This window comes from Homo sapiens, chromosome 6 (assembly GCF_000001405.40).
Source record: "Homo sapiens chromosome 6, GRCh38.p14 Primary Assembly".
Lineage (NCBI taxonomy): Eukaryota > Metazoa > Chordata > Mammalia > Primates > Hominidae > Homo > Homo sapiens.
In genome coordinates, this window is record NC_000006.12 from 6,335,846 (window position 1) to 6,363,593 (window position 27,748).

Sequence of the window (27,748 nt, forward strand, 5' to 3'; positions counted from 1 at the left end):
ATTTGATCACTTTTTAAGGAGCACTGTTATTCTTGTTTTTTAATCGCTTGTAACCAAGCCTGATCATAACTAATAAAACACCAAAATAATCAAATATAAAGGAATACATTTTGCATTGTCCTTTAAAAAGATGGAAGGAACATTCATGCCACAAAGGACTGCCTAAATCCACCCAGAAGCATATTCACCAGAGTCTCAAATAGTAGCTCATCATGGTCACAGTCTTCAGTGTGTTAGAGCTGCTCATACCTTCAGGATACTGCAGAGGTCTTACTTCTAGTCACTCATGTTTGCCTTTGGATCATCACCAAGAATAAAACAATGTCAAATATGTTAAGCAGATAGGACATCATAGCACCCACAAAATCTCAGTTTAGAAATGATAGAAGGATGCATTTTCTTAAAAAAAAATAAAATCACAATAGGGGTAACCTAAAATAATTGGATGGTCAAAGCCAGTCTTCACTGTCACAATGTCAAATACATTTAGGGACAAACAGGTAACGTTAATGTAGTGTGATTTAGGACACCTGAGTGTCAGGAACACGTACTCAAACCTGAGAGTCCCTGTTCTGTCTGAACACACTCAGATTTTTCTAAAATACATGTCTGGCTAAATAAAACTTGTCTGTGAGCTGGTCCTATTCCCAGGCCACCAGTTCGTGCTCCCAATAAGTTTTTTTCAATATTTTCATTGGATTACAGTAGACTTCATTGTTGGGGTAAGACATGATCTCAGGCTTCCATTATAATTAAGGGGAAGACAAGATGGGTCAGTATAGGTGACTTTTAGAACCTGAAATGCCTCACTGGGCTCAAGGATTATAATCTGGGATGGTTATCGTCGAGCTTGGCGTGAAGTGTGGTGGCCACGAGAATGATCCATATTAGAAACCTAAATACTAGACAGACAAAGAAAGGAAGTGCACATCCAGGGTTGAGACCAAGAGAACTAGGGGTTCAAATACAGAGAGTAAGCCATCAGTCTCTGAGCAAGAGACAAGAAATAACCTGAACAGGAAGTAAAATTTAAAAGAAAATTTAAATTAAACAAATACAATTCATGTCTTGTATGTTGTATATAAAAATTAGATTTAAGTTAAGAAAGGATAATATGCAGACAACATAGACCTTATGCAGATAGGCTAACAGCCATTCTTCCCATCGACCCACACAAAAATAAAAGGCTCAAAAATAATTACGTAAAATCAGGATTTATAACAATGCCTCGAGTTAACAACCCGCCTACTTGGTTAAAGTTCCCTTTAATTTAAACAGGTGACATGATTCTGAAAGTTATTAAGACTACGTCTGTTTCCTTCAAGCTCTAATTTGATTATTGACAAGTATAAAAGATTATTTCATAGATTGTTCTTAATATAGGCTATGCTGGTTGTTCTTAACATAGGCTATGCTGGTCCAACTCCCCTTATGACAAAGCTGACAAAAATTCAGAAAATGAAACACATTTTCCTATAACATTACTTTTTTCCAATGTGTACCACTGTAACTGAATTAACATTACTTGGCTAGAAAAACATAGATAATTTTGTTTGGGTGGGAAAAAAACTAGAATATTAGAAGAAACTATGAGAAACTATATACTAAAAAAGGGGGCAGGAAATGAGCCACAAATCTTAAGGTTTATTATTGCATCCTTCACTTGTGAGCTATCTGCACTCTAGTGAAGAGAGGTAGCATATAAAAAATTTTGCCAAAGAAGTTCAATATATGGGAATCAACATATAGACACCTAAAAGGAGGTAAAACATAGCTCAATAGTATCAGCCCAATTTCTCACATCTTTACTGTGGGACAGATGGAGAAACAAATTGACATCCAAAAGGTCACTGATTTTGATATTCCTAGGACAGAAATGCTCCCAACTGGGAGTAAATCCACAAGTCACTGAAGTGTGGAGGACTAATCCACTTTATCACCTTCATCAAATATTTAGAAATGGTAACATTACTCATTGGAAAACCACTAAGGGGATAAGAAAGAAATGTTGGCCGGGCACAGTGCCTTACGCCTGTAATCCCAGCACTTTGGGAGGCCGAGGTGGGCAGATCACCTGAGGTCAGGAGGTCGAGACCAGCCTGGGCAACATGGCAAAACCCTGTCTCTACTAAAAGTACAAAAATTAGCCAGGAGTGGTGGCACATGCCTGTAAATCCCAGTGACTCAGGAGGCTGAGGCAGGAGAATCGCTTGAACCTGAGAGGCAGAGGTTGCAGTAAGCGGAGATCGAGCCAGTGCACTCCAGCCTGGGCGACAGAGCAAGACCCCGTCTCAAAAAAAAAAAGGAATGTTTAGGTTCTCTGGTTTAATATATGCACAAGCTGGACACTTTATTAAAACATTAGAATTGTTTTCCCATGAAGACAAAAACCTACTTGTGGGAATTTGAGAAACACAGTTGATGGGACTATGTCTCCAAAAGATTTGCATATGTCTTTGTATAGAAACACTAAAATCTCTCACACACAGATTACAATGGAAGAGATCTGCAGTCACAGGCCAGATGAAAATGCTTGGTCTGCCAGCCCAGTGACTGATGTTTTACATTAAGGATTGGACTTTAAAGATTTACCTTAAAGACTGAGTTGCTGGCCTGAAACAGAATACCAGCGAGGTTTCCCACTGGAATCTCTTCATCCCAGAAAATTGTTTCAGGGACATGGACCCAAAAAATCCCACTAAACTGTATGCAGCTATTTTTGGAATAATTAAGTATAAGCCCTTCTAAATGTAGAGTTGATTAGTAAAATAAGTGTTATCCCAGGATTCACTGCAAATATTGTTCAGTTAAATAACCCATTAAGCACAAGCTTCAAAACAGCAATTTCTTTCTAATAATTGTAAAGTTTTGCACAACTAAACAATAAAAGCCAAATAATCCACTCACAATAAAACCTGGTTGGATAAGATACAGAAGGTTATGCTATGAAACAACAGCCATCACAAATTAATACAGTTTTGCTCCCCAAGTACTATAGTTCTTTTTCGGAACATTGGTTGCCCTTTTAAAATTTTATTGATAAGGAAAAAAAAACAGCTACACAAGACCAGGATGTTGAAAGGTAATCTATATCCTCAAAATAAACTAAAGGTTATTGTAAATAAGTTAAATAAGTTATATCACATAAACTGCATTTACCTTTCCCCTCTACAAGTTATGGTACCCACCAGAGGCTGGAATCCCAAAGCAATGAAAAGACAATTAGAATTATATGCCTTGGTTTTGTTTTTATTAGTCAGAATGAAAAAAAAAATAACCTGGTGTTGAAAGCACAATGAATTTGAAATAACACCTAAGTCAGAGTCATAGCTGTGCCACCTTCGGCTGTGCAACTTGGGAAACTCAATTTATTTGTTGTCTTGAGTTCCTTTCCTATAAACTGCAAAATTTGAATAGATTATCTCTTTTTTTTTTTTTTTTTGGTTGGAGTTTTGATCTTGTTGCCCAGGCTGGAGTGCAATGGAGCAGTCTCAACTCACTGCAACCTCTGCCTCCCAGGTTCAAGCTATTTCCCCTGCCTCAGCATCCTTAGTAGCTGAGATTACAGGTGCCCACCACCATGCCCACCTTTTTTTTTTTGTGTGTATTTTTAGTAAAGACAGGGTATCACTATGTTGGCCAGGCTGGTCTTGAAGTCCTGACCTCAGGCGATCCACCAGCCACAGCCTCCCGAAGAGCTGGGATTACAGGCATGAGCCACCGCGCCTGGCTAGAATAGATTATTTCTAAAAGCTTTTCAAGATCTGACATTCGTATAATGATGAGCAGCTATTCTTTCCTTTAGGAATTCCTGGTGGGCTTTGCTGTCATTTCTTCATAACGCCTACTGGGGACACTATTGCTTTCTCCCTTAGTATCTTTCTTGTGACAACCGCATGCCTGGAGGTAATCAATTTCCTTTGGTGGTTGGTGGTTCATAAATGGGCATGGGACTTAAGTTAGGGACTCTAAGATCAGGGATTCTGGGAAAGTTCATTCTTAATTTTCTGCAAAAACTTCTGAAAATAACTCTGCTTTCTTTCTTTGAACTTGGCTGGGTGCAAAATGCGAAATCTGAAGTGTTAGTACTATCTCTCTACCACTCTAGAGGTGAAGCCAATGTGTGGAGAAAAGCTGAGTCCAAAGACTGTCAGGAAAAACACATCCAGAACCACAGGATTAAGTCAGCAAGGAAGCCAGCCCTACTCCGAACTTTCAGTTGTGTGAGCCAACACATTTTCTATTGCTCCAGCCACTTGGAGTTGATGTTTTATATAACCAAATAGAAATCTGAAATTTCTATTTCATTGTACTTGAAATGTCCATTTCTGCTTTTTTTTTTTTCTTTGTAGAGATGGAGTCTTGCTCTGTCGCCCAGGCTGGAGTGCAGTGGCACGATCTTGGCTCACTGCAACTTCTGTCTCCTGGGTTCAAGCGATTCTCCTGCCTCAGCCTCCCAAGTAGCTGGGACTATTGGCGCATGCCACCATGCCTGGCTAATTTCTTTTATATTTTAGTAGAGACGGGGTTTCACTGTGTTGTCAAGGGCTAGTCTCAAACTCCTGGGCTCAGGCAATCCACCCACCTCAGCCTCCCAAAGTGCTAGAGTTACAGGCATGAGCCGCCGCGTCCGGCCCATTTCTGCTTATGTTTCCTCTGCATCCACTCTGCATGCCGTGGTAGAAGTCCTAAGAGTGATTCACCTGCAATGTGTCCACTTGATCTAGAATCTCAGAGGGCTTATTTTATGTGTGTACAGTAAAGGAAAGTGACAGGTTTGAAATTCACCTGAAAATGGCTAAATGAAGAGAACATATAACTTAAAACCAAATAAAATTGAGGGAGATAATAAACGCCAGTTTGGAGTTTAGCTCTTTCTGTCATGACATTATTTGAGTTCTGCCAGAGATGGTTTTTTTTTCCCCCACAAACTGAAAGATGTCTCTTTTAATTTCTCAGTAATGGTGGGAGCAATGTTACATGTCTATTCTTAGCCTTCAACCTTTATTTTGCTTCTCCCTTGGAAACTAGATCATCTATAAAAATATAAGAAGACAGACCCTCATCTGTACTTTGCAAACAAATAAGAAAATTAGGTTGTTCTCCTTTCAACTGTACTTTTTAAGAGAGAAGGAAGACAGTGGAGAACAAATCTTAATTGAATTAAAAACCACATTATTTTTATAGCTGTGAGTTTAAATCATTTTCATTTAAGAATTTTTAATGTTCATTCAGAAAGTCTTATATCTTAAATAGATTTTTGTAAATAAGTGCATTGGGTTAAATGTTAATTGACTTATACGTGAAGCACCAAATAGTTAAAACCATCTGTCATAAGCCTTAGATACCAAGAACTTTACTAGGTTACCCTGAATGTCTTCCAATGGTCACTTCTGACATTTTCTGACATGCTTCCCAGAACTTGGGGACAAAGGAACATCTGGCACCACATATAAAATTTATCATTACATAAACCAAAGATGCTGAGGGCATCCTCATAAAAGCAGTACACTGCAAAGAAATTGAGTTTCAACGGTGATTGATCACTATTTGATTTGTGCTGTTAATTCTTCCAAGAAATTTCATAAACAAATAAGGCAAAATCACATTTATATAACATTTTATCATGTACAGATCCCTTTTACATTCATGGTTTCATCTGTCTTCTATAAGAATTCTGTGAGAGAGCTAGCCATACCCATATTTTGTTTTTAGATGAAAAAAACTAGGCTTAGAAAGATGAAGGGCTCTGACTAGGTCACACAGCTAGTAAGAGTAACACTAGCAGTTCTCAGGTGCTCTTTTCACCTACCTGATGGAGCCTCAGGTTGGATTGAATGGCTTCTTCAGAGAACCACTTCCAGGTTACAAAGAAAAAGAAGTGATACCTGATTTGAGTTCTCTCGGAACAGGATGTTCATAGACCCCAGGAACAAAGAAATGAAGGCAACTTTAATGGCTGGAGAATGTGGAGAGGAAGAGGACTGAATGACAGGGTCAAGACCAGGTGAAGGTAGAGCTACCCCCAGAGAAACATGTGGCCTTTGTTAAATCACTAGGGACAGGCACTAACTTTGAGGACATTTGGGCCAAATACTGTGCGAGGTGCCCAAATTCCTCATATAATTTTCTTAAAAACTTGTTTCCCAAGTGTGGAAAGATTCACTAACTCTCCCAGATCTACATAAATGGAAAGGAGAATTGGCATATTTGGTTCTCAAGCCCTCCCTGGCCTCAGTGTCCTCACTGACTTTGTTGATTTCTAACAGTCTCTTCCATCTCTCAAATTCTGAGTTGGCTTTAGTACTACTGATATGGTTTGGCTGTGTCCCCACCCAAATCTCATCTTGAATTGTAATCCCCATAATCCCCATATGTCGTGGGAGGGACCTGGTGGGAGGTAATTGAATCATGGGTGCAGTTCCCCCATGCTGTTCTTGTGATTGTGAGTGAGTTCTCAGAGGTCTGATGGTTTTATAAGTGTCTAGCGTTTCCCCTGCTGTCTCTCATTCTCTCTCCTGTCACCCCTTGAAGAGGTGCCTTCCACCATGATTTTAAGTTTCCTGAGCCCTCCCTAACCATGCAGAACTGTGAGTCAATTAAACCTCTTTTCTTTATAAATTAACTAGTGTTGGGCGTTTCTTCACAGCAGCATGAGAACAGCTGAATACAACTACAGTTCACTAACGAATCAAACTCTCCCGGTTGACTTCATTCCCCTGTAATGTGGTTCTTTGTTAATTTGAAATTTAAACTAGTAAATTGTGACGTATCTTACAGATCGTTATGGCTCAACAGTATTAGTTTCCTGTTATTGTTGCCATTGTAAAGGCTTTGGTTTTATTTGTTTTCTTTTTGGCTTTACGTTTTTCTAATTGTTTGCTAATATCTAATTTAGATATTCTTTATTTCACCAAATCATGCATTTGGAAAGACTACTCATATTTTGCCTGTTGTTTTGCAATCCAAATAACATACCATCAGGCAATCAGAATAACATCCTTTCTTTTTACAAAGACTGGCCAGTTTTTACTTATCTTAGAAAGCAACTGAATATGGACTCCAGTATGAAACATAAACACTTTTTGCTTTGTGCCAAATTTGGAAAATTTGCAGCCTCTAGTTCTTCAAATATTTTTTCTGCCCCATTCTCTCTTTCATGTTGGGATCTTAATTAAATATATGTTATGACTGTGGATATTGTTCCACTAAAGCCTGTTCATGTTTCCCCCAATCTTTTAGTGTCTGTTCTTCAGACTGAATAATTTCTATTAATCTATTTCTGTTTATCTTTTTCTTATGTTACCTCTAATCTGCTGTGAAGCCCACCAGTGAATTTATTATTTGAAATTTTATTTTATTGATTTATTTTTGTCCTAGAATTTCCATTAATTTCTTTTTGATCCTTTATTTTCCCTATTAAGATTTTCCATATGTCCCTATATGAGATTTCCTATGTATTCTTTCATTATGACTAAAGCAGTCTTTATCTTATTGAGCATGGTTATAATAACTGCTTTAAAATACTTCTCTAGTAACTTCAATATCCAAGTCATCACAGAGTTGGTCAATATTAATTTCTTTTCTCTAGAGCATGGGTCATGTTTGACTGTTTCTTTGTATGTATGGTAATCCTGCATTGCATCCTGGACATCATGAATGATATTTGTAGACACCATGAATTTTGTTATGTTCCCCCAAATAGTGTTGATTTGCATGTTTGCTTATTTTAGCAGTTAGCTCACTTAACTAAGTTTATTCCCATTACAAGAAGTGAAATTCCTAAACCCTTCATTTTAAAAGGCTTCTTTGAAGCACATGAAAAATCTGATATTAATCAGCCACTTCTTCTGAACTTATTACCTGAAAAAATATCATTCCACCATAAAGCAAATCAAACAGAGGGACCTGAGTAGATGTTTACAGAGCTCTTTAGTTTGTAGAGACTTCTCCTTCAAATAATAATAATAATAATAACAATAAAATTCTCTCATAGCTCTTCTGTTTTCCAAAACTAAGGGAGTTAATCAATTTGTTAGATTATGAAAGCATATGCGTCTATAATTTTATCAGTTTTCGGGTAGGTATTTAAACTCTATAAACCAGATCATCATTTAGGGGATTTCATATGACATTGTACTTAAATGACTTACACTTCTTGGCTGAACCAAATTTGATCTCCAAGAAAAGTCTTTGATTAATGAAACTACATTATTTATTATTACACAAATCATAGAAAACAAAAGAGTAGCTTTTAACAAAATTCGTCTATGTAACACAGGGTGAAGGACTATAGGGAATAGATCCAGCAGACAGAAAAAGAAATCTACATTCTGAGTTGGCTGCAGAACAGCTCAGACATGGCCAACTCCAGCTTGAGCTCCAGACAGTTGCACTGGTGCTCTGCTGGGAGATTTCAGGACAAAGTAATTTTGCAAGAGAAGGATCAACTTGAGATAGGACTCTGAAGTTTTTATTATTCACAGTACTTAAAGGTCTGGGATAACATATTTTAAGAACCCAAAGCAAGATGCTCAAATCAATTCTTACAGTTGGTCTCAAAAATAGATACACATAACTAGATGTTAGGACCAGGTTTTCTCCTGTTGCAGGGTTTCAATAACCAATAATGTTCCATTGGAAAACAGCTGCTCACAAGTCAGTTTATAAGCTCCTTTTTTGGTTAGTAAACAGTCTTCAATAATTGTAGCTGACCCATACTTAATTTTGCTGGAAATTGTTTTGCTTCTTTCTAGAGAAGCTTCTATTCATCAATGTAAGGAAGAATGCAGAACCTCCACAGAAAGGAATTTAACCTCTAAGAATCACTACTCTAGAAAATGATAAAAATAAAACCACTGAACTTGTTAATAGTAGAAGATTACTTAAAATGTTTTCATCCACTCATTACTGAATTTCATGTAAGAGATGTGTAATATTTAGAACTAAAGAAAACTTTACAGATCACATAATCAAACCCCTTTTGTTTCCAGGCTTGGACACTAAGGCCCAAAGCAGAGGTTTGGTTCTGCATCTACCTGTGTGCTAGCTGCTCCACTGTGTCCCTAAATTTACTTCATAAGGCTGTTTTTTTTTTCTGAGATAGATACGGAAAAGAGAAAGTGCAAGGACATAGAGAATGCATATTTCTCACTTTAACAGATATTGCCAAAATGCCCATGAAGATAGTCATGTTGGTTTATGCACCAACAAGCATGTATGAGAATGCTGGTTTCCCCACAGTTTCATCAGAACATACTATCAGACAAAACTGATTTTAAATCATACCCATTTTTGTAAAAATCATATCTCATTGCTTTAATTCCTCTTAGCACTAGTGAAGAAGCTAAGCAAATGTTAATGTGTTTAATTAGATAACTGCATTTCTTTTCTTTCTTTTTTTTTTTTTTTTTTTGTGAGATGGAGTTTCACTCTTCCCGCCCAAGCTGGAGTGCAATGGCCTGATCTCGGCTCACTGCAACCTCTACCTCCCAGGTTCAAGTGGTTCTCCTGCCTCAGCTTCCTGAGTAGCTGGGATTACAGGTGTCCGCCACCACACCTGGCTAATTTTTGTATTTGCCAGTAGAGACAGGGTTTCACCATGTTGGCCAGACTGGTCTCGAACTCCTGACCTCAGGTGATCTGCCCACCTCGGCCTCCCAAAGTGCTGGGATTACAGGCGTGAGCCATTGCTTCTCACTAATAACTGTATTTCTTCTGTGAATTTCTTATTCTTTGTCCATGTATTATTGGTTATTTGTTTTTACTAATTAACTAGTGTTACTCTTTACATATTGCAGTTATTAATTCTTTTAACTGTTACATATGCTGCAATTTTTTTTGTCTGTTTTCTCTAAGAGTAACTCAACATAACTTTAATGAAATACTGATTAACAAAAAAGGGTATCCATGTTTCTCTGGGAACTTTTACATAAATTCTGCTTGAGAAGGTTATTTGTATTTTGTTTGGCTTTCACTGTTGCTTTGGCAGGGAAAATTAATTTTATAATATTCAGCAACTACTCATTTCACTGTATAGTGAGTGGAAAAGGGACAGTATGCAGAAATGATCTCTACTTCAGATCCCAAGTATCAACAACTCTTATTCTGTAGCTGCCATCTCTGTTATAAAAATCCAGTCTTCCAAGCATGGCACACTTCTTCTCTAAGGGCCAGAAATGAATTTCAAACTATCTTGTTGTATCTTTTCATTAGAGGAAGAACTGCTTCTTTTTTTTTTCTTTTTTCTTTTTCTTTTTCTTTTTTTTTTTTTTTTTTTTTTTTTTTGAGACAGAGTCTCGCTCTGTTGCCCCAGCTGGAGTGCATTGGCAAAATCTCGGCTCACTGCAACCTCCACCTCCTGAGTTCAAGTGATTATCCTGCCTCAGCCTCCTGAGTAGCTGGGATTACAGGCGCATGCCACCATGCCCAGCTAATTTTTGTATTTTTAATAGAGACAGGGTTTCACCATGTTGGCCAGGTTGGTCTCGAGCTCCTGACCTCAAGTGATCTACTCACCTCAGCCTCCCAAAGTGCTGGGATTACAGGCATGAGCCACCGGGCCAGGCAGGAACTGCTTCTTTTCTCTTTTGCTATCTAGAAACCAGCAAACTCCATGATGGCTATTTATCTATAATTTATTTTTAAGAACATTCTGCCAATGACATCTCAAGCAAGATGTGACAACAGTTACACAAAGCAGTCTACAGCATGCAGTGTGTCTCAATGCCTCTGAGAAGTAGCAACAACTTTTGTTCTCAGATGGCCCTCAGTCCTTCCCCGTGTCATCTTTCTGTCCTAGACTGTGGCCTAACTGCTCACAAGGATTCAACGGCATGCAAACAGCTGTTAGTTGGTTTTCTTAAAAGAGGTATTGTTGATTGGAAAGACTGGCTCATATTTAAACTCTGCCCTTTTTGCAAATGCCAGATTTTCTCAATAGTATTCCAGAGGAAATTTTGTTTTGAACACAGTTACTGAATTTGACCAGACTACAGACATAGCACCACCCATATTGCTCAATGCTAAGACACAGCATCTTTGATTTTCTGTATGTCATAACGTTCTGAAGATTGAGTTATTGATGAGAAATTTTTGCAGCTACACATCCTCCTATAGTTCTTGCTCTCCATTCAAGCAGGCCCTAGGGCTCATGGCAAGATGATTTCCTTGGGGAGAAAGAGCCTGAGACTTAGAAATTTAATTTGTATAATGAATCCTGGCTTTTTCCCTCCTTTAGGGATCTGATTCTTCTTTCTCTTCCTCCTCCTCTTCTGTCACAGGACTCTATGCTCCACTCCAGCGTAGTTTGGTTGACTGATGCTTCATTCTCTATATGCACTGACATGACGTGTGACTGTTCAGGCACAGTTGGAGAAGTTGGAGAAGACAGCACCTCATCCCCTCTCCCAGAACTAATCATTGATTGGAGGGCCAATGCTTCAACCTTGATGTGATTCAGCAGGTCATGCGAGGGCTGCCTTCAACAGGAGCAGTGTCTCCTCCTCCTTGCGCAGTTCCTGACCCAGCTCGGCATGTTTCCTGGTGACACTGCTGCTCGCCACATGGCCCAGTGCTGCAAATATTTTTATATAATTACATTTGTTCATTCAATTTTTAAGTGTCTTTTTAATAGAGAAAACAATCACTTTATGAGCTCAAAATCTGCAAATCCCTTGTATTTTCTAAAAGACTTTCTTCAATTACAAAAATTCCCCTTATGTTTTATTCTAATACTTTATAAATTTTGTTTAGCTTGTTGATTTTGCATCTGAAATTTACATTACAATAAAATAAAGATAAAATTTAATATTTTCCCTCAGATGCATTGCCAAGTATCCCAACATAGTTTGTTGAATATTTCTTTTTTCTCTGCTGATTTGAAATGCCAATTTTCTCATACACCAAATTTCCATACAGATACATGGCTGTGGCTCTGTCCAATATTCTTTTCCACTGATCTGTTGGCATATTCCCATGCCACCATCTATGTTCAATTACTGTAGGATGAATATATATAGATATATGTATATCTATCTGTCTATATCAGAGCAGTTCTCTCTCATTGTTCTTGTCTTTTAAAATTATTATAGTTATCCTTGCTCATTTACTGTTCAGCATATTTTGCTTCCAGTAATCGATTGTAAGAAATGAATGTAATAATTTTTTTAAATGGCTCTGATGTTGAAAAGACTGTAAAAAAATGAAGTACACATTGGCCAACTTAGCATACCTTTTGAAAGATATTGTTTAAGATTCCATATTGATCTTGCAAGATCATTCCAGGGAAATAAGTGTGTTATTGTGGTGGATACACCCACCACAATCTCACCATTTGAGGATGTATCTCATCATTTTGATGATGGCTCCAAATCCACCTTATTCTAACACAAAGTGGACTTTGCAATCATAGTTCTTGTCCACTAATTGTGACACGTGGATTCCATCACCCTGTTGTTTCTGAGGCATTCTTTGCACTTGCTTCCATTAGGTTTATGAAATTTGTGAATTGGGCATTTTTACTGAACTTTTAATCTTTCATCATCTTCAAACGATCGAATAGGCTAAAAATGCTGCAGACTGTGCAAGGCTGTGCACCTCAATGCTAGAGGAAGTCTGTTAATCAGACCCGCTGCATGGATTTCATCATTTCACCTCAAGCTTTACCACAAAGGTTACATCTGCTGAATTAGAAATAGGGTGATAATTCTCATTTGCTTCTATCTCAATTCGGACTTAGATAAAGACTTTTAAAAACAAAATTACCTTCTGGACACTGCTTCTTGATGGACTCTGCCCATTTTAATTACAAGAGTTACTGTTTTTTTAGGAGTCAGGAGCTGGATTAATATGAGTTCTTTCACTCTCAAAAGACCTCACACCTCATGGCCTTAAATGGTTAAAACCTGAAAGAGACAGAGTTTAAAATATAATAATTCATTACTTGGCATGAGATTAGTCCTCAAGTATTTCCACAACCACTTGTACTTCAGGGAAACCCCCATCAAGAACCTCATTGATGGCTAAAAGACACCGTCAGGTAAAGAAGTAAATACAGTCCATACTTGTAATTTGGTTCATCTGGGTTACTGGAGCTTCCTCTCATCATTGCTTCTCTTCTGTTTCTATGCATTTATATTGCCTTCACTGAACATACCATTAGCTTCGAGTTGATTTTGTATAAAGAAAGAGCTTTTTAGCAAAGGTCTTTTGGCCCCTTGCTTGTTTTATTACTGTCAACACAGAGTTAGAAAAGAACTATTTAATAAAGTTGTCAAGGTCTTGAAATGATCGCTCAGCCAGTTCATCAAAATGATGGAAAAGATAGAGCAAAGTATTTTTGCATGATCCTGTCCTTATTATCTGTTGGTCATCCAACAAGGATCAGCTGTACAGACAGTCACCTAATAACGGTAGCTCTAAAACAATAAAAATGGAAAAATAGTAACTATATAGTGAAGAAACCTGGCAGACACCTCCTTCACCAAGTGGTCAAGTCCAGTAATGGGACAAATCAAATCCTCTGTCTCCAAATATAATGAACTGGGGAGAACGCAACACCTCTTTTGTGCTATTGCTGCCCCACAACCTGATTCTCACTGTGAGGAAACATGAAACAAACCCAAATGGAAGGACATTCTACAAAATATCTAGCCTATCCTCCAAAAATATCAAGTTATAAAAATCAAGGAAAGACTGAGAAACAACTGTTTCAGACTTAAGGGGACTAAAAAGACAGACAATATATCTTTCAGGATTTTCTCTGGTCATAAAGCATATTACTGGGACGACTGGCAAAATCCAAATAAGATCTATGGATTAGATAACAGAATTGTAGCAACATTCATTCCCTGAGTTTACTGTTTGTACTATGGTTATATATTTTGGAAAAAAAAATCCTTGTTTTACCATTTCAGTCCCCTGATCACTCCTAGCTACAAGGGAAAAATAGGAAAATCAGTCTATATACCAAGCCTAGTGAGCTGGTTAAAAATCAGAGTTCTACTACCTGTGATAAAGGAGAGAATCGATACTAGAATGAAACCAGTGGTCTTAGACATGAAGTATGTGTTCTTGAGAAATGCAGTTGTACAAAGACAAAGTCGCTGGAGAGGAAGACCTATTTTAAGGCTATCAAGGGCAATCTCATGGATGAGAATGAGATTATACATACCCCAGCCTCATTTGGACTAGAATGAAAACATCAAGGACTGACTGCCCTCACTCACGTGTTATCTCAGGGGCCAGACCATCTCCTGCACCTCTACTTTCCTTTATCTCGCACCCACCAGTTTCTTCTCCCCACCTGCTTTGCTGACATATGACTCCAAATAGTGTTCCCAGTTTTCAAGTCTAAATGGCATGGCAGGTCCTGCCTTCACTATCAACTACCGGTGCTCATTATATCTGTTTCTATTGAATTGATTCCACCCATACTTTCGTAAAAGGATTTCAGCAACCACAACACATCTAGAAGTGCTTCAGAACAGTTGTCCATCTGGGGCTAATCCTATGCGGCTTTAAGGAGGCAATGTCACATGGTTATGATTTGAGATTAGAGGGTTATGATTAGAGATTCTCTTGGAAGAATAAAGGGTCAGGATGAGAAATGATTGTGATAGTTGGAGGATATTTCAGAATACTTTTCATTTGAAAAAAAAAAGCCAAAATTAAGATGAAGTGATCATTCACTTCCAGAAGTAAAAAAACTGCTAGGATTGATCTTAAGAACAGCAAATCAAGTAGCTAAAGTGGAAATGTACAGTAAACATGATGAAGAAAATTACCCCCAGTAAAAATCCATCGATGGAATTTTTTCAAAGACCCTTCCCCAAGAGCATACATATAGAAATAGACGGGGCATGGGAGGGACAAACAGGCAGCAAATCAAAGCGATCTGCAGTGAAATTAAAAGAGAACTGAAGCCTGTGACATTATCCCTCTCTCTAGTAAGTTTTCTGCCTTTACTTGAATTTTTTTCTAAACTTAGGTCTTGGTAAATCTGGCAGCTGTCACAAAATACCATCTGTCCTAAGAAAATGGGTGTAGAGGTGGCTGTGACCCAGGGGATTTTCCCAAATGCTGTTGGCATGTATTTTTGGCCTGATCAAGTCCCTGACAAGAAAGTAAAAATCCTACAAAGAAAATCTCTGAAGCTGCACTCAAAAGAGAAATGGGTGCACAGTCCCGTTATAAAATTGGGGCAGGAGCTGTCCACTGTGAAAAAAGGGGAAGGTGGCTGGGCGCAATGGCTCGCGTCAGTAATCCCAGCACTTTGGGAGGCCAAGGCGGGTGGATCACGAGGTCAGGCGTTCGAGACCAGCCTGGCCAACATAGTGAAACCCCGTCTCTACTAAAAATACAAAAAAGTTAGCTGGGCATGGTGGCAGGCGCCTGTAATCCCAGCTACAAGGGAGGCTGAGGCAGGAGAATTGCTTGAACCCGGGAGGTGGAGGTTGCAGTGAGCCAAGATCGCGCCACTGCACTCCAACCCAGAGGGCAGTGTGAGACTCCGTCTCAAAAAAACCAAAAAAAAAAAAAAAAACAACAACAAACAAACAAACAACAACAACAAATGGGAAAGATGAGGAGGAGTACAACTTAAGATAGCTCATGCTTAACTCCAGGGGAGGCAGGGGAGAACAGAGAGAGGCATGGGAATTCTATAAAGCAGGCATGGAGTTTGCCCTCTGAGAATCCATCTATATCTGATTAAATGTACGGATTAGTCAGAATTGTCTGTAACTTTTAGTCTACCAGCTGAGAGCACACTTCTAACCTGAGTAATTTAAATATTGGAATTGCTCAGTCTTGGTGAACTGGGTACATTGAAAGCTGTCCTCATCAGCTCTGTTTAAGTTATCCAAGCATTTGAGAGGAAACCGTTTTAACCTCAGTCTGCCATCATTGATAACAGGAGGTTTTCTTCAACTTGCAAAGAAAGCCATCAAGTACCTTTAAGATAACTTCCTGCTACCGGTTCTTTCAGCGGGTGGGAAAATATTTGGCCAGTGCCCAGGTTTTGCAGGAGAGTCAGAGTATTGCAATTGCTCATCTATCTCCCAGCAAAACTGTGACTGTGGATCTTGTTTGCTCTGAGAGAATATCGAATACTTTTATTTATTTGTGTGTGTGTGTGCAGGGGGATTCGGATGCTTGTTTGTCACCCAGGCTGGAGTGCAGTGACATGGTCATGGCTCACTGCAGCCTCCATCACCTGGGCTCAAGCAATCCTCCCTCCTCAGCCTCCCAAGTAGCTGGGGAGCTGGGACTACTGGCACACACCTGCCCTAAGTTTTTTATTTTTTTGGGGAGATGGGGGTCTCACTTTATTACCCAGGATGGCCTCTAACTCCTGGCCTCAAGAAATCTTCCTGCTTTAGCCTCTGAGTCACTGGGATTACAGGCTTGAGCCACCACACCAGGCTCTGAATGCTTTTTAAACTAACCCCTTGGCCATTGTGCTGAGCAGGTATTAGGAAAACGGCAGACATGCTGATGAATACTCTAAAGCCTACTTATCCGTGCAGAGGGGGGCTCCCCAAAACTGATGGGGAAATGCAGCAATATCCTCCTGATTCCACTGGATGTTTAAGAGGAATGTGGGAGATGCCTCTACAAACTAAAACCTCAGCTAGGCAAAGGCCAGATGCATACGGACGAGAAACACACAGAAATAACCTGCAGAGGCCGGGCGCGGTGGCTCACACCTCTAATCCCAGTACTTTGGGAGGCTGAGGTGGGTGGATTACTTGAGGTCAGGAGTTCAAGAACAGCCTGGCCAATGTAGCGAAACCCTGTCTCTACCAAGAAAAAAAAAAAATTAGCCAGGCAAGGTGGTAGGTGCCTGTAGTCCCAGCTACTCGGGAGGCTGAGGTGGGAGAATCGCTTGAACCCAGGAGGCAGAGGTTGCAGTGAGCCAAGATCGCAGCACTGCGCTCCAGCCTGGGTGACAGAGAGAGACCTTGTCTCAAAAAACAAAATCAAAGAAATAACCTGCAAAGGAAACGCATGCAAACCATACACACTACACATACACACCACACATACACATCATACCATGCACACAACACACACTACACATACAAACCACACGTATACATCACACCACGCATACCACCATACCACACACACCACACATACACACCACACGTCACACCATGCATACCACATACATATCCACCAAACACAACCACACCACACACACCGCACACCACCTGCACACCTGTAAGGTAAAGAAGTGGATACAGTCCATATTAGTAATTTGGTTCATCTGGGTTACTGGAGCTTCCTCTCATCATTGCTTCTCTTCTGTTTCTGTGCATTTATATTGCCTTCACTGAGTATACCATTATCTGTCTCTCTCTCTCTCTCTCACACACACACACACACACACACACACACACACACACACACACACACTATGTACAGTAACCCCAGGCAGCAGCGGCAGTCCATGACTACTTCTTTCTCACATAAGTGACCCCGTGAATTCATTTCTGCACAGGTGTCTGAGCAGTGGGTGGAGTCTCTTTCTGTCAGTGACAGAAGGACCTGCAGGCTGGAGACTGTGGGAGTCTCCAGAATTTTCAGCATCGAAGGGGTTGCCTGCAGCCCCTGATGTGAGCAGATCCCTTGGCAGAAGCTGTGGAACCTGCTCATTTGCTGGGAAAGGAGGAAGAGTGCCAGCACGCAGTCTGTGTTCATGCTGAGTGGGGCGTCCTGAGACCTATCGGGGTGCACCAGCCTGTGAGGGAGGCACAGTGCCCTGTTGGTGCGAACGCCACGTCCTTCCAAAGTGTGAGGCATTCAGACTTGACCTCCAGGCACGCTTTGCCCCTCAGGGGATTTTTCCTTATCTCTCACTCTGTCCTCCAGGTGCTGAGAAGGACTTCCTTGAAGGTGCTCATTGAGCCAAAATGCCTGAGGAATGTAGGATTCCCTTGTCACACTGGGTTCTGGGCTTCATTAAAAGAAAAAATATATATATATGTATATGTATATGTATACATGTAATATACACTACGATGAAAATGTCAGACGTAATGTAAGATGTGATGTATAGTATGTTCAATATATTTTAGGTGTACCACATGTATTTATAATATAATAATAAATATTATTTATAATATATTTTAATATATATTACACAGATATAGGTATGTGCATATATGCACATGTATGCATGTGTCTTTTATTTAATTAACAAACACTTATATACCAATTTCTAGGTACACTGTCCCAAGCCCTTTATAAATGATAACTCATTTAATTTAACCTTCAGAACAACCCAATGCTACAGCTTCTTCCCCCCACCCCTACTCCCACTTTACAGAAGAGGAAACCACACCTGGGCAGGTTGAGTAACATGCTTCAGGGTGCATAATTAGCACGTGATGAAGCAGGGTTCAAACGGCCCCTCTGGCTCCTGATCTTGTAGTCATGTTCCATTCCAGCACCCTGTCCAGCTCACTCTCACCTGAGAGGGGGAATTTAGTCAGGCTTAGTTGGGCAGTTTGGTAGTATATAAAAATTTTCCCTGGGCTTTTCTCTGGCCACAAACTCTCTAAGATGATTTGAGGGATGTGCATCTACACCTCTGACCATTCACATTCAGCTTTGCAAGGTCTCAGACTTTGGATGAAGAGAGTTGTGGAGAACGAATTTGTTAACGCTGCAAAGAAATGTGAATTGTGGTGTAATTTCATATTAAACAGTGTGAAAAGTCATAGGAAATCTTCTTTCACAAGATATTATTTAAGCGATGCATTTATTTACTAGAGATGAAAATAGAAATAATCTAAATCCATTTTTAAATGTTTTTTTAAAAACCACGCTAAATTTTTTAAATGTTTTTTTAAAAACCATGCTACCAAATAATACAAAGAACAAATTTGTGCGTGTGTGTGTGTGTGTGTGTGTGTGTGTGTCTGTCTATCCTATGCATATAAATGTCTTATTATTTACCTGTTATAAAATTCTAGATGTCACCTCATTAAGCCCATTATCAACGAGTTATTACTGACCATCACTGATGTTTTGGGCTATTTTTACCTGCTTTTATTTATTTTGTTCTTTTTTAGGAAGTTTTACTCATATATTAACTTCTCCATTGACACTGCTTCTTACTTAACACTATGTGAATGCAGATTGTAGTCAAAGATATTCAAGGATTCAAGGGTTTGACTATTTTCTCATAGCAATAGCATTTGCTTGTGGAGTATCTTAAGGGCACTTTGAGATGAGTGAGAATGAGATTTTGATACTGAAGATGGGCTTAGAGCTGGTGCCCTCATCACCCTCCTTCTCTGAATGAGCCTCATGGAGCAAAAATGCCACCGTGGAAATGAGGTGGTGCACAGTGCTGGTAAAGCTTTTACAGTTTATAAATTCTTTCCTCCACAGTGTCTATTGGCATATCTCAAAAAGAGCCATTGTCCTGACGATGCCCATGATCTCCCAGAAAGATGTAAAGAGAAATGACACTGGTATCCAGAGTAGCCCAGAGGTAAGCAGAGCCCAGACCCCCATAGGGCTGCCCACGTTAGCAAATAGAAATACAGGAAGTTAAAGTCAAATTTCAGACCCTAGAGTGCTCAACATTGTACTACAGACCCCAATGCTTTACATTTCAGATAAGCAATAAATAATTGTCTGGTATATGTATGTCCCACATAAGCCATGGAATATATTTGTACTAAAAGAACCATTCACATTTAACTGGGCATCTGGTATTTTATCTGGCAACCCTAGCAAGAAGGCAGGGGCAGCACAGGTACATGAAGGCCACTTTGCTCTACTGATAGATGAATACAATATTCTTTGCATCTGTGTTTCCCTGATGAGTATTATAAACTAATGTTTTCGTGCAACCAAGATAGGAGTATATTTTAGGGAGTCTCTGCACAGCCATGAGTGAGAAGGTAGTGTTAACAAAGAAGAAGGAAGTGTTAGTGAAAAATTGGAGAGACTGGAACAGAAGTGCTGATTTCAAAGCATGCCTTGAACACTAGGCATTTGCCATCAGACAGGTCAGTAGACTCGTAGGGAAGGGAGAAAGGAAGGAAGACTTTTTCAAGTAGTTTAGCTTTGCCCATAAATTGTGATGATATCTACCTACTGACGATGGCTTTTGAGAGACTTAAATAATACCACCAACCACAAAAGTGCTTTATAGAGTACAAAATATTACACAAATTGTCAGGATCACATTTCCCAACTATACCTGTTTTAGGAGGAAGAAAGGGAGGAAAAGGAGCAGGAACCTCTTTCTCCTCCTCTTCTGTATCTATCTGCTTGATCCTGAGCTGATGGTCTTTCATGTATTAAGGAATGTCATATCACTATGACCACCTCAGCTACTGCTAATTAATTCAACTCAAGCTACTGCTAAATGAATGACAGCAGATTTCGATATCCTGCTAACTTGCTTTTTAGCTTAGAGCAGCCAGGCTATTTTGCAGCCAACCAAATACACATCAAAGAATGTTAAGTCTTTCTGTGCCACAGATATAATACAGATTTCTTTACAAAACAAAGATGGAGGGTCAATATTCCCTGAGGCAAAATGCTGAAATATATCAATTGCTATCCAATATAAAGCACTGTTTTAACAGTGAACATCCTTGGAGTCAGAAGACCTGGGTTTAAGGAGAAACTCTGCCATGTATTGTGTGTTCTGGGCTAATCCTTTAACCTCACTGAACTGTAATTTTGTTTTTTTTTTTTTTGAAAAATAACCTTATCTTTCATATAAGCTGTTGTGATGATTACATGTGGTTTATATACATATATAGCCCTTTGTGAAATACAATACACAATAAAATATAACCTGTTATTCTCATTAAGCTGTGTTGTGTTTGCATTATTACAACTGAAACAGGAGTCCCGATCTTCTACAAACACTCGCAAGGGTCAAATCCTAGCGTTATTTCCATCAGCTAGTTCCTACCCTGAGTTTTTGGACTTATATACTTCCCTGAAGTAAAATTGCCCCAACTTTCTTTCAACTAAAATTTGAAGTATTCAGGAGGCTTACATTCAATTTAGTTTAGCAGTAGTTTGGAAGGATGTCGAATATTTAAAATGTGTCGTTTTTCTGAGGTTCGAGGTCTTTAAGATGATTTGGGGGTGTGCAGATATACCCTCTGACAGTTCAAGATCAGCTTTGTAAAAGTCTTCATATTTCATACGCAGACAAATGCATTAACAGTGCCAACAAATGAGAATTACAGTGCAATCCAGACAAAGGGTGTAACAAATCCAAGGAAATCTGCTTTGGCAAGAACCACTTGGTGAATGCAATAAAGCAAGCTCTGAGCTGCAAATGTCACTCCCTGCCCCCACGTTGGTCTCAGCTGAGCAGGTGGGTGTCTGCCTTGCCTTGAGCCACTGAGCAACTAGGAGCGTGAATATTATTTATTATTCGTAAGAAATGGAGCCAGTGCATTTCAGATATTTGCAGAGTGTTGCAGACATTAATGAGAGTGGAGAAGCGATCTGTTCCCTGGTGGACCCCTACTGCATTTATTCGAATGTGTGATTATTAAACTGCACAAGTCTCTCTGGGGCTCAATGCCCAGAGTGCATTACACCCTGGAGAATGTGAAAATACTTTAATTAACAACAGGAGTGGGCAGACCTGCTGAGTGCCTTCTGTTACCATCCTTGCGACCTGGAAAGTCAAGACTCATTTGTCACCCCCACCATTTTTCATTATTGATATAAAGAAAACACTAAGCAACAATTTCATTTGAAATCAATTGGAAAGGCTGCTAAATATAAGATATTTCACTCCTTTCCTTCCTCTGGCTGAAGTTTATTAGTAACCAACATTACACAAACACATGCACACATCAGCATGCTCACACACACATGAGAAATGAACTTGAGATTTCTCTATATTCCACGTGCTCTGCAAATAGTACGGCACTCTGGAGCGTATAGATGGAGAACATGCCAAATTGACTTGGAATATGCATCCATTTGAACATGTAAATTTGCATTAGTCAATTACTCAGTCTGATAAATGCTTTGGTTCATTAGTTTAAATAAAATACTGGGAAACTCCTAACACCCTAGCTGACTAAGAAATGATGTGTTTTTGTTTGTTTGTTTTTTAAATGTTGCTTCAGTGATTTCTGCCTGAACTGGTTGTATTTAAGACCATGTAGTACCCAACCACAATTTACAGGCCAGGAGAAGGGGCCTGCCATGGACACTGTGCAAAGATCAACTCTCATTTTTTAATCTTGTACCCTCTGTCCAGAACTGATGTGTTGCCGCGTGAGAACTGAATGTGAGGAGAGTGGTTGTGCACACGCATGCAAGCCAACCTTGGATGTTGCCCCACAGCTGGTCTGCAGTCTGGCTTCTTGTAGAATAGAGCCACTTCATGACATGGACTGGTTTGGCCAGAATTCAGAATTTACTTAACAAAGACCTAATTGTCACATCACTCTACCAATTCTTAATTATTTATCGAGCATCCACTAGCGCCCCAGATTGGCATAGGCCCCCAAAACAGTGGGCAACCCAGACGAGAAGAGACCAGTATCTGAGACACATTTGGAGAAAATTAAATGCTGATTTGTGACATTGAGACTTTAACCTCCTTAAAAGCATACTATTTTTCCAGAAGTATTGGGGAAAATACTTTTCCAGAAGTTTTGTTTTTTGCTTTTTTGATGTACTAAATGAGAGTGGAATGGACGGTGAAGCAAGAAGCTATTTTTTTTAAAATAAACTTTTCATTTCAGAAGAGTTTTAGATTTATAGGAATATTGTGAAGGCAGAACAGAGAGTTCCCATATGCCCACACACCCAGTTTCCCTATTATTAACATCTTACATTAGTCCAGTACTTTTGTTATAATTAACAAACCAATAGTAATACATTAGTATTAACTGAAGTCATACTTTATTCAGATTTCCTTAGGTTTTGCCTAATGTCCTTTTTCTGTTCCAGAACCCCATCCAGGCTACCACATTACATTTAGTCACTGTATCTCCTCAGGCTCCTCTGGGGACAGTTTCTTAGACTTTCCTAGTTTTGATGACCCTGACAGTTTTGAGAAACACTGGTCAGATATTGTGTAGAAGGCCCCTCAGTCGGGATTTGTCTAAAGTTGTCCTCATGAGTAGATGGGGGTTATGGTTTTGGAGGGAGAAAGACCACAGAGCTGAAGTGCCCTTTTCATCATGTGAGATCAAGAGTGTGTACTATCAACATGACTAATTGCAGGTGCCATACTTTTCTCCCCAAGAAGACTATTGTCTAAAAGTATTTGAGGCCTTCCCTGCCAAAGTAGACGTATAAGGCATCAGTCATACACCAAGTCATATACCTGATCCACTTCTTGGACTATGACCAGCTTCTCAGTTTACTCACATGGCTTATGGACCCTAATATTTGTCATGCAGCACTTGCTTTCCCTAGTAAGCATCATTTTCAGCATTAACATTAGATATTTAAAATGTACAGAGGCTATGAACTATCTTGAAGAGAATATACTTTCCACCTCATTCTAGAAAATCAAGTGTATCGTGATTTACTTGTGAGAAACCTCAGCAACTGAGTATTTCAAGAAAGAGCTGAACCCTTATATTGACTGACTTGGTGATTTTACATTTTAAATGTTCCTGTCACAGTTGAGTAGCTATAGGTACAATTTTTTCATGAGATAACTTGCGGGATTGAGAACAGGAGTGTTTACTGAGCATCTACTATATATAGACATTTTACATAGTGTACCTCATTTAATGACCACAGTAATCCTACATCCAGGTCAGGTATAATTGCATGCACTTCACAGAAAAGGAAGTGAACTGTCTGGTAAACCAGGGCACATGATGACGAATGATGAACTAGAATGTCTACATGACCCATATTCTTTCTACAATACACTCTACTCCTGCTGGAGTTGATAATGCTGTGTTCTAAGGGGATACAGATAGGTCTCTCTCTCATGCCTGAAGTGTCTCCATAAGTGATGCAAGACTTTTGATCTCCAAGAATTGCCAGACTTCAAGAATCTTCTGGAAAAATAAAAGGTTTTTTCTTTATATACATTAAACCTTGTATGTTTAGTAAAAAAGTTCTGTACATTTCTTCATTTTTCCTATATTTAGGCAAAGTTTCCCACTCTTTTTTGATAATGATATTTAAAAATGTCTTTAATAAAATTGCTCATAAAATTTATAGGACTTGCCAGAGAATCAAAGTGAGGGAAACTTTAATAATAGTGTACAATAGAAAAATACATACTAATGTGATTAGTATGAAAATGGAAGCAACATATGTATTAAAATAGATGGTTTTTTTTTTTCCTGTAATACACAAGGAGCTTGTATAACTTAATGAGAAAAAGAACAATCCAACACAACCATGAACAAAGCTCAGGAATAGGCCGTTTTCAAATGAGGAAATAAAAATGGCTAGTAAATATATGAAAAGATATTCAGACTCTTTACTAATCAAATAAATGCAAATCAAAACAACAGTAAGATTTTTGACACATCAAATTGGCAAAAATTGAAAATGCCGATTCCCAGAATTGGCGAGAATTTGAAACAAATAGTTTTTTAGCAATACCAATCATAGCTTAAGTGTACATTTCCTTTGAACCAGAAATTCCCCTTCTAGAAACTTATGCTGTAGAAATATTTGTCAAGTACACAAAGATATGTTTCCCTGGGTGTTAATTGCATCATGGTTTATAAATTACAAACTAGGAAACAATCCAGCTATCAATTAGTGGGGGTTTATTAAAACAAATTATAGCACATACACACAATGGAAAGCTATGCAAATCATTAAAAAAAGATATAAAGGAGAGCCACATTATGTTTTTGAGTGAAAGAATCATGTGGCTGAAGTTTATATTTTTTATCCAATGTGTGTCACTATATGTGACTTTGCCTACACATTCCCATACCTATCTTAATGCAGCAGTGATTGGACTTTACAAGAAAGAGAATCCTAAACGAGGCATAATCTTATTTTTTGCATGCACTGATAATGCATCTGCAAACAGACCAGCAATTTAGAAAAATATTTGTAAGCATAGTCAGGATGTTATAAGCATGAAGTTCAGCTATTCATTAAAAACATGCTGAATTAAGGTCATTGTACATTATTAACCAGGACTCTGTTAATAGTGCACAATGACCTCAATCTAAGACGTTCTAGGAAATATCAGAAGCATGGGAGTTATATAAGACGATTTCTTCAAACATATGGATTTCATTAATTGCATGGCTCCAGATTCGACTAGTCTTTTCTCTAATTCCTTTGTCACATGCTGAATGTTATAGAATGAAAAGGCATAAATAAACATCATTACAGAAAATGTTCCTTTGCTACTAGCTTTAAGTAATTGCTATTCAACTCTAAATAACCCACTTGAAAAAAAGAAAACATCATTAGTCTGAAATGTCTGCTAACGTTTTCTTTCTACTTTGTTAAGGTCCATTTAAGGAGAGACTTATCACAGCCATACTCAAATAATCTGATCCTCTAAAAATACTTTATAGTTAAGTTACACTGATGAAAGTAATGTATTTACCCAAGAGGTAAACACATTGCCTGGAAAATTCCTAATTGACAAAGGAGTAGGAATTTACCCTGTTGTGTGTGGGGCAAACCAATGGTGAGGCTCTGTGGCCCTCAGTGGAGAATAAAACCTATAACAGCAAGGGTAATGTTCACTCTATATGTCTACAAAGGCTGAACTTGGACGCCATTGTCTAGCATCTTTTGAACTAAGTCTAGAACAATGACACTCCCCTTGGACTTTCTAAGATACTTCTAGGGCTTTAAGTTTATCTGATATTTGGCAAATGCTCAGCACAATTTTGATTCAGAAAATAGTCACTCTAGCCATATCTAATATGGATGGTAAAAACTGGCTCATTATTATGTAGTTATGGAAAGTTGTCCAAAGGATGCCAGGTGTTCATCATGGCTACTATGATTTTGAGTGGAAAATGTGGACCCAAAAATCTTTTATGAGGAGGTACAGATACGCCACCTAAAACAATAACCTACTAAAAGCACTAAGAGAAATGAACAACAAATGAAGCAGCCATGGGAAATACATCAAGAAAGTATGGCAATCTGGCTGGACCCAAGGAGTGCTTTGAACAGCAGCAAGCTCTAGAAATAGCAGCAGAACTTAGCCCAGTCTGGTTTGTGGGCTGCTGGTCATGCAGTGTGGTCTTTTTGGTCACCTTTGCTCACAAAGGTAGAGTTCATTGGAACAAGGGACTGTTATAACATCTTTCAACCTGGTATTCATTTTTGAATCATTGCATAACATTTACATGGAATAACACATACCAAGTTTTGAATAGTAACAGGCGCAACCTCAAAGGCACCATGACTTGGATAGGCCTTCAAAAGTCCAGCGACTTGGTTGAATGAATCATAATCTCTTTGATCTAACATCTGGACGGCAACCCCTTTAAGGATCTCATTTCCTGTATATTCACATCTCTTCCTTGCATAACAATATCCACCTTCAGACACACACAGGGTAAAAGCAGAGAAAATTTTCAGAGTCTAAGCTCAACAACAATTTTGTTTATTCCAGCATCATGGTTCAGCCTTTTGTTTTTACTTTTCAAAAACATTTTTAAAACAAATTGGGTATTTTTTATTACTACAGTCCTAATGTTTTACATATTGCTTAGCACATAATTGACAGTAAACAGTTAAGGAAGGAGTAATGGAGAAGGGGAAGGAGTTTATTTGAGAGAGTTGGGGCTTAATTATCTGTCACATCTTCAATTCCCAGATTTCCTGCAGCATGAGTCAACTACTAACCCAGTGAGCAACAGAAAATTTCACATCGTTTTAAGAAAGATAGTGGGGCAATCTTATTTCTACTGCCAGCAAAACCTAGGATGGCAGCAGCAGAAAAAGGTATAAAACATAATTTAGAGGTTAAGAGCAACTGGGGCAATGAGCTAGATACCCTAGTTGTGACGACAGACCCACAAAGTGGGGCGTCAGGTTGGGAATTCTGTGATTAATGGCTCTACAAAGGGAGAGATTTTAAAGAAGCAGAATATTTTATAAGTATCTTCCTAGTGTTCCTGTAGGCCCCTGACCAAATCTTTCTGATGATAAAAATAGCATTTCAACAATCATAGATCAATACTTCTGGGTCTCCACCCCTCCATTCTCTGATAAATCTCTGGCCTTTCTCAAACTCTTCATGCAGAACCATTGATAAACTCAACAAGCATCTATGAGCCACGACTAATATGTGCCAGTCATGGTATGAGGAATACAGCTGTGAAAAGGATAGTCATGAGCCCTTCTGTGAGGAGCTGATAATGTGATGAAGGGTTCTGGGCTCTCCCAGAGATGGTCTCACTTGTACTCTGAGTGCCAGTGCTGTTGGCTCTAAGAGACATCCAATGCTCTTCTTTCCTCGTCCCATTTTCTTTGGGGATGATCCCTACCCTTAGCTGTACCCAACCAGCACTGCTGTGGTCAGTGCCCAGAAGTCACACTGCTCCTCTGATGGCGCCCATCAGATTGCTCCAAGGCTGGTCTTGCACCTGTTAACCTATTTCCTGTTTGCCTGAGAATACTCTTGTCTCTCATCTTAATGTAACATCATATACATCTGTGTTACATTAGGATTAGAGACAAGTTCTGTTTAGAAATAACTACATGAAGTGTTTTTATATTTTATTTTCACATTGCAAATCAGTCAGATTTGCTTCAGCCTCAAACAGCA

General features: G+C 39.0%; 1 long non-coding RNA gene and 1 pseudogene across 1 annotated transcript in view, besides 1 other annotated feature; both read right to left on the bottom strand.

Annotated features, from left to right (window-relative positions):
* Positions 1-10,619: 10,619 nt before the first annotated feature.
* LY86-AS1 (LY86 antisense RNA 1) overlaps positions 10,620-27,748 on the bottom strand; it is a 276,362-nt gene continuing 259,233 nt past the window's right edge. Inside the window, exons 7-8 of the long non-coding RNA NR_026970.1 lie at positions 12,766-12,905; positions 10,620-11,575 (exon numbers count right to left, since the gene is read on the bottom strand). This is a non-coding gene — a long non-coding RNA (LY86 antisense RNA 1). The remainder of the gene's footprint in view (positions 11,576-12,765; positions 12,906-27,748) is intronic.
* On the bottom strand, positions 11,242-11,522 carry SNAPC5P1 (small nuclear RNA activating complex polypeptide 5 pseudogene 1; annotated as a pseudogene).
* Positions 25,777-26,976: an enhancer, noted in NCBI's record as "CDK7 strongly-dependent group 2 enhancer chr6:6361855-6363054 (GRCh37/hg19 assembly coordinates)". NCBI's record gives its function as "activates an origin of replication core promoter dependent on BRD2, BRD4, P300/CBP, MED14 and CDK7 cofactors, with strong dependence on CDK7, by STARR-seq in HCT116 cells {active_cell/tissue: HCT116}" and the evidence as "EXISTENCE:reporter gene assay evidence [ECO:0000049][PMID:35650434]".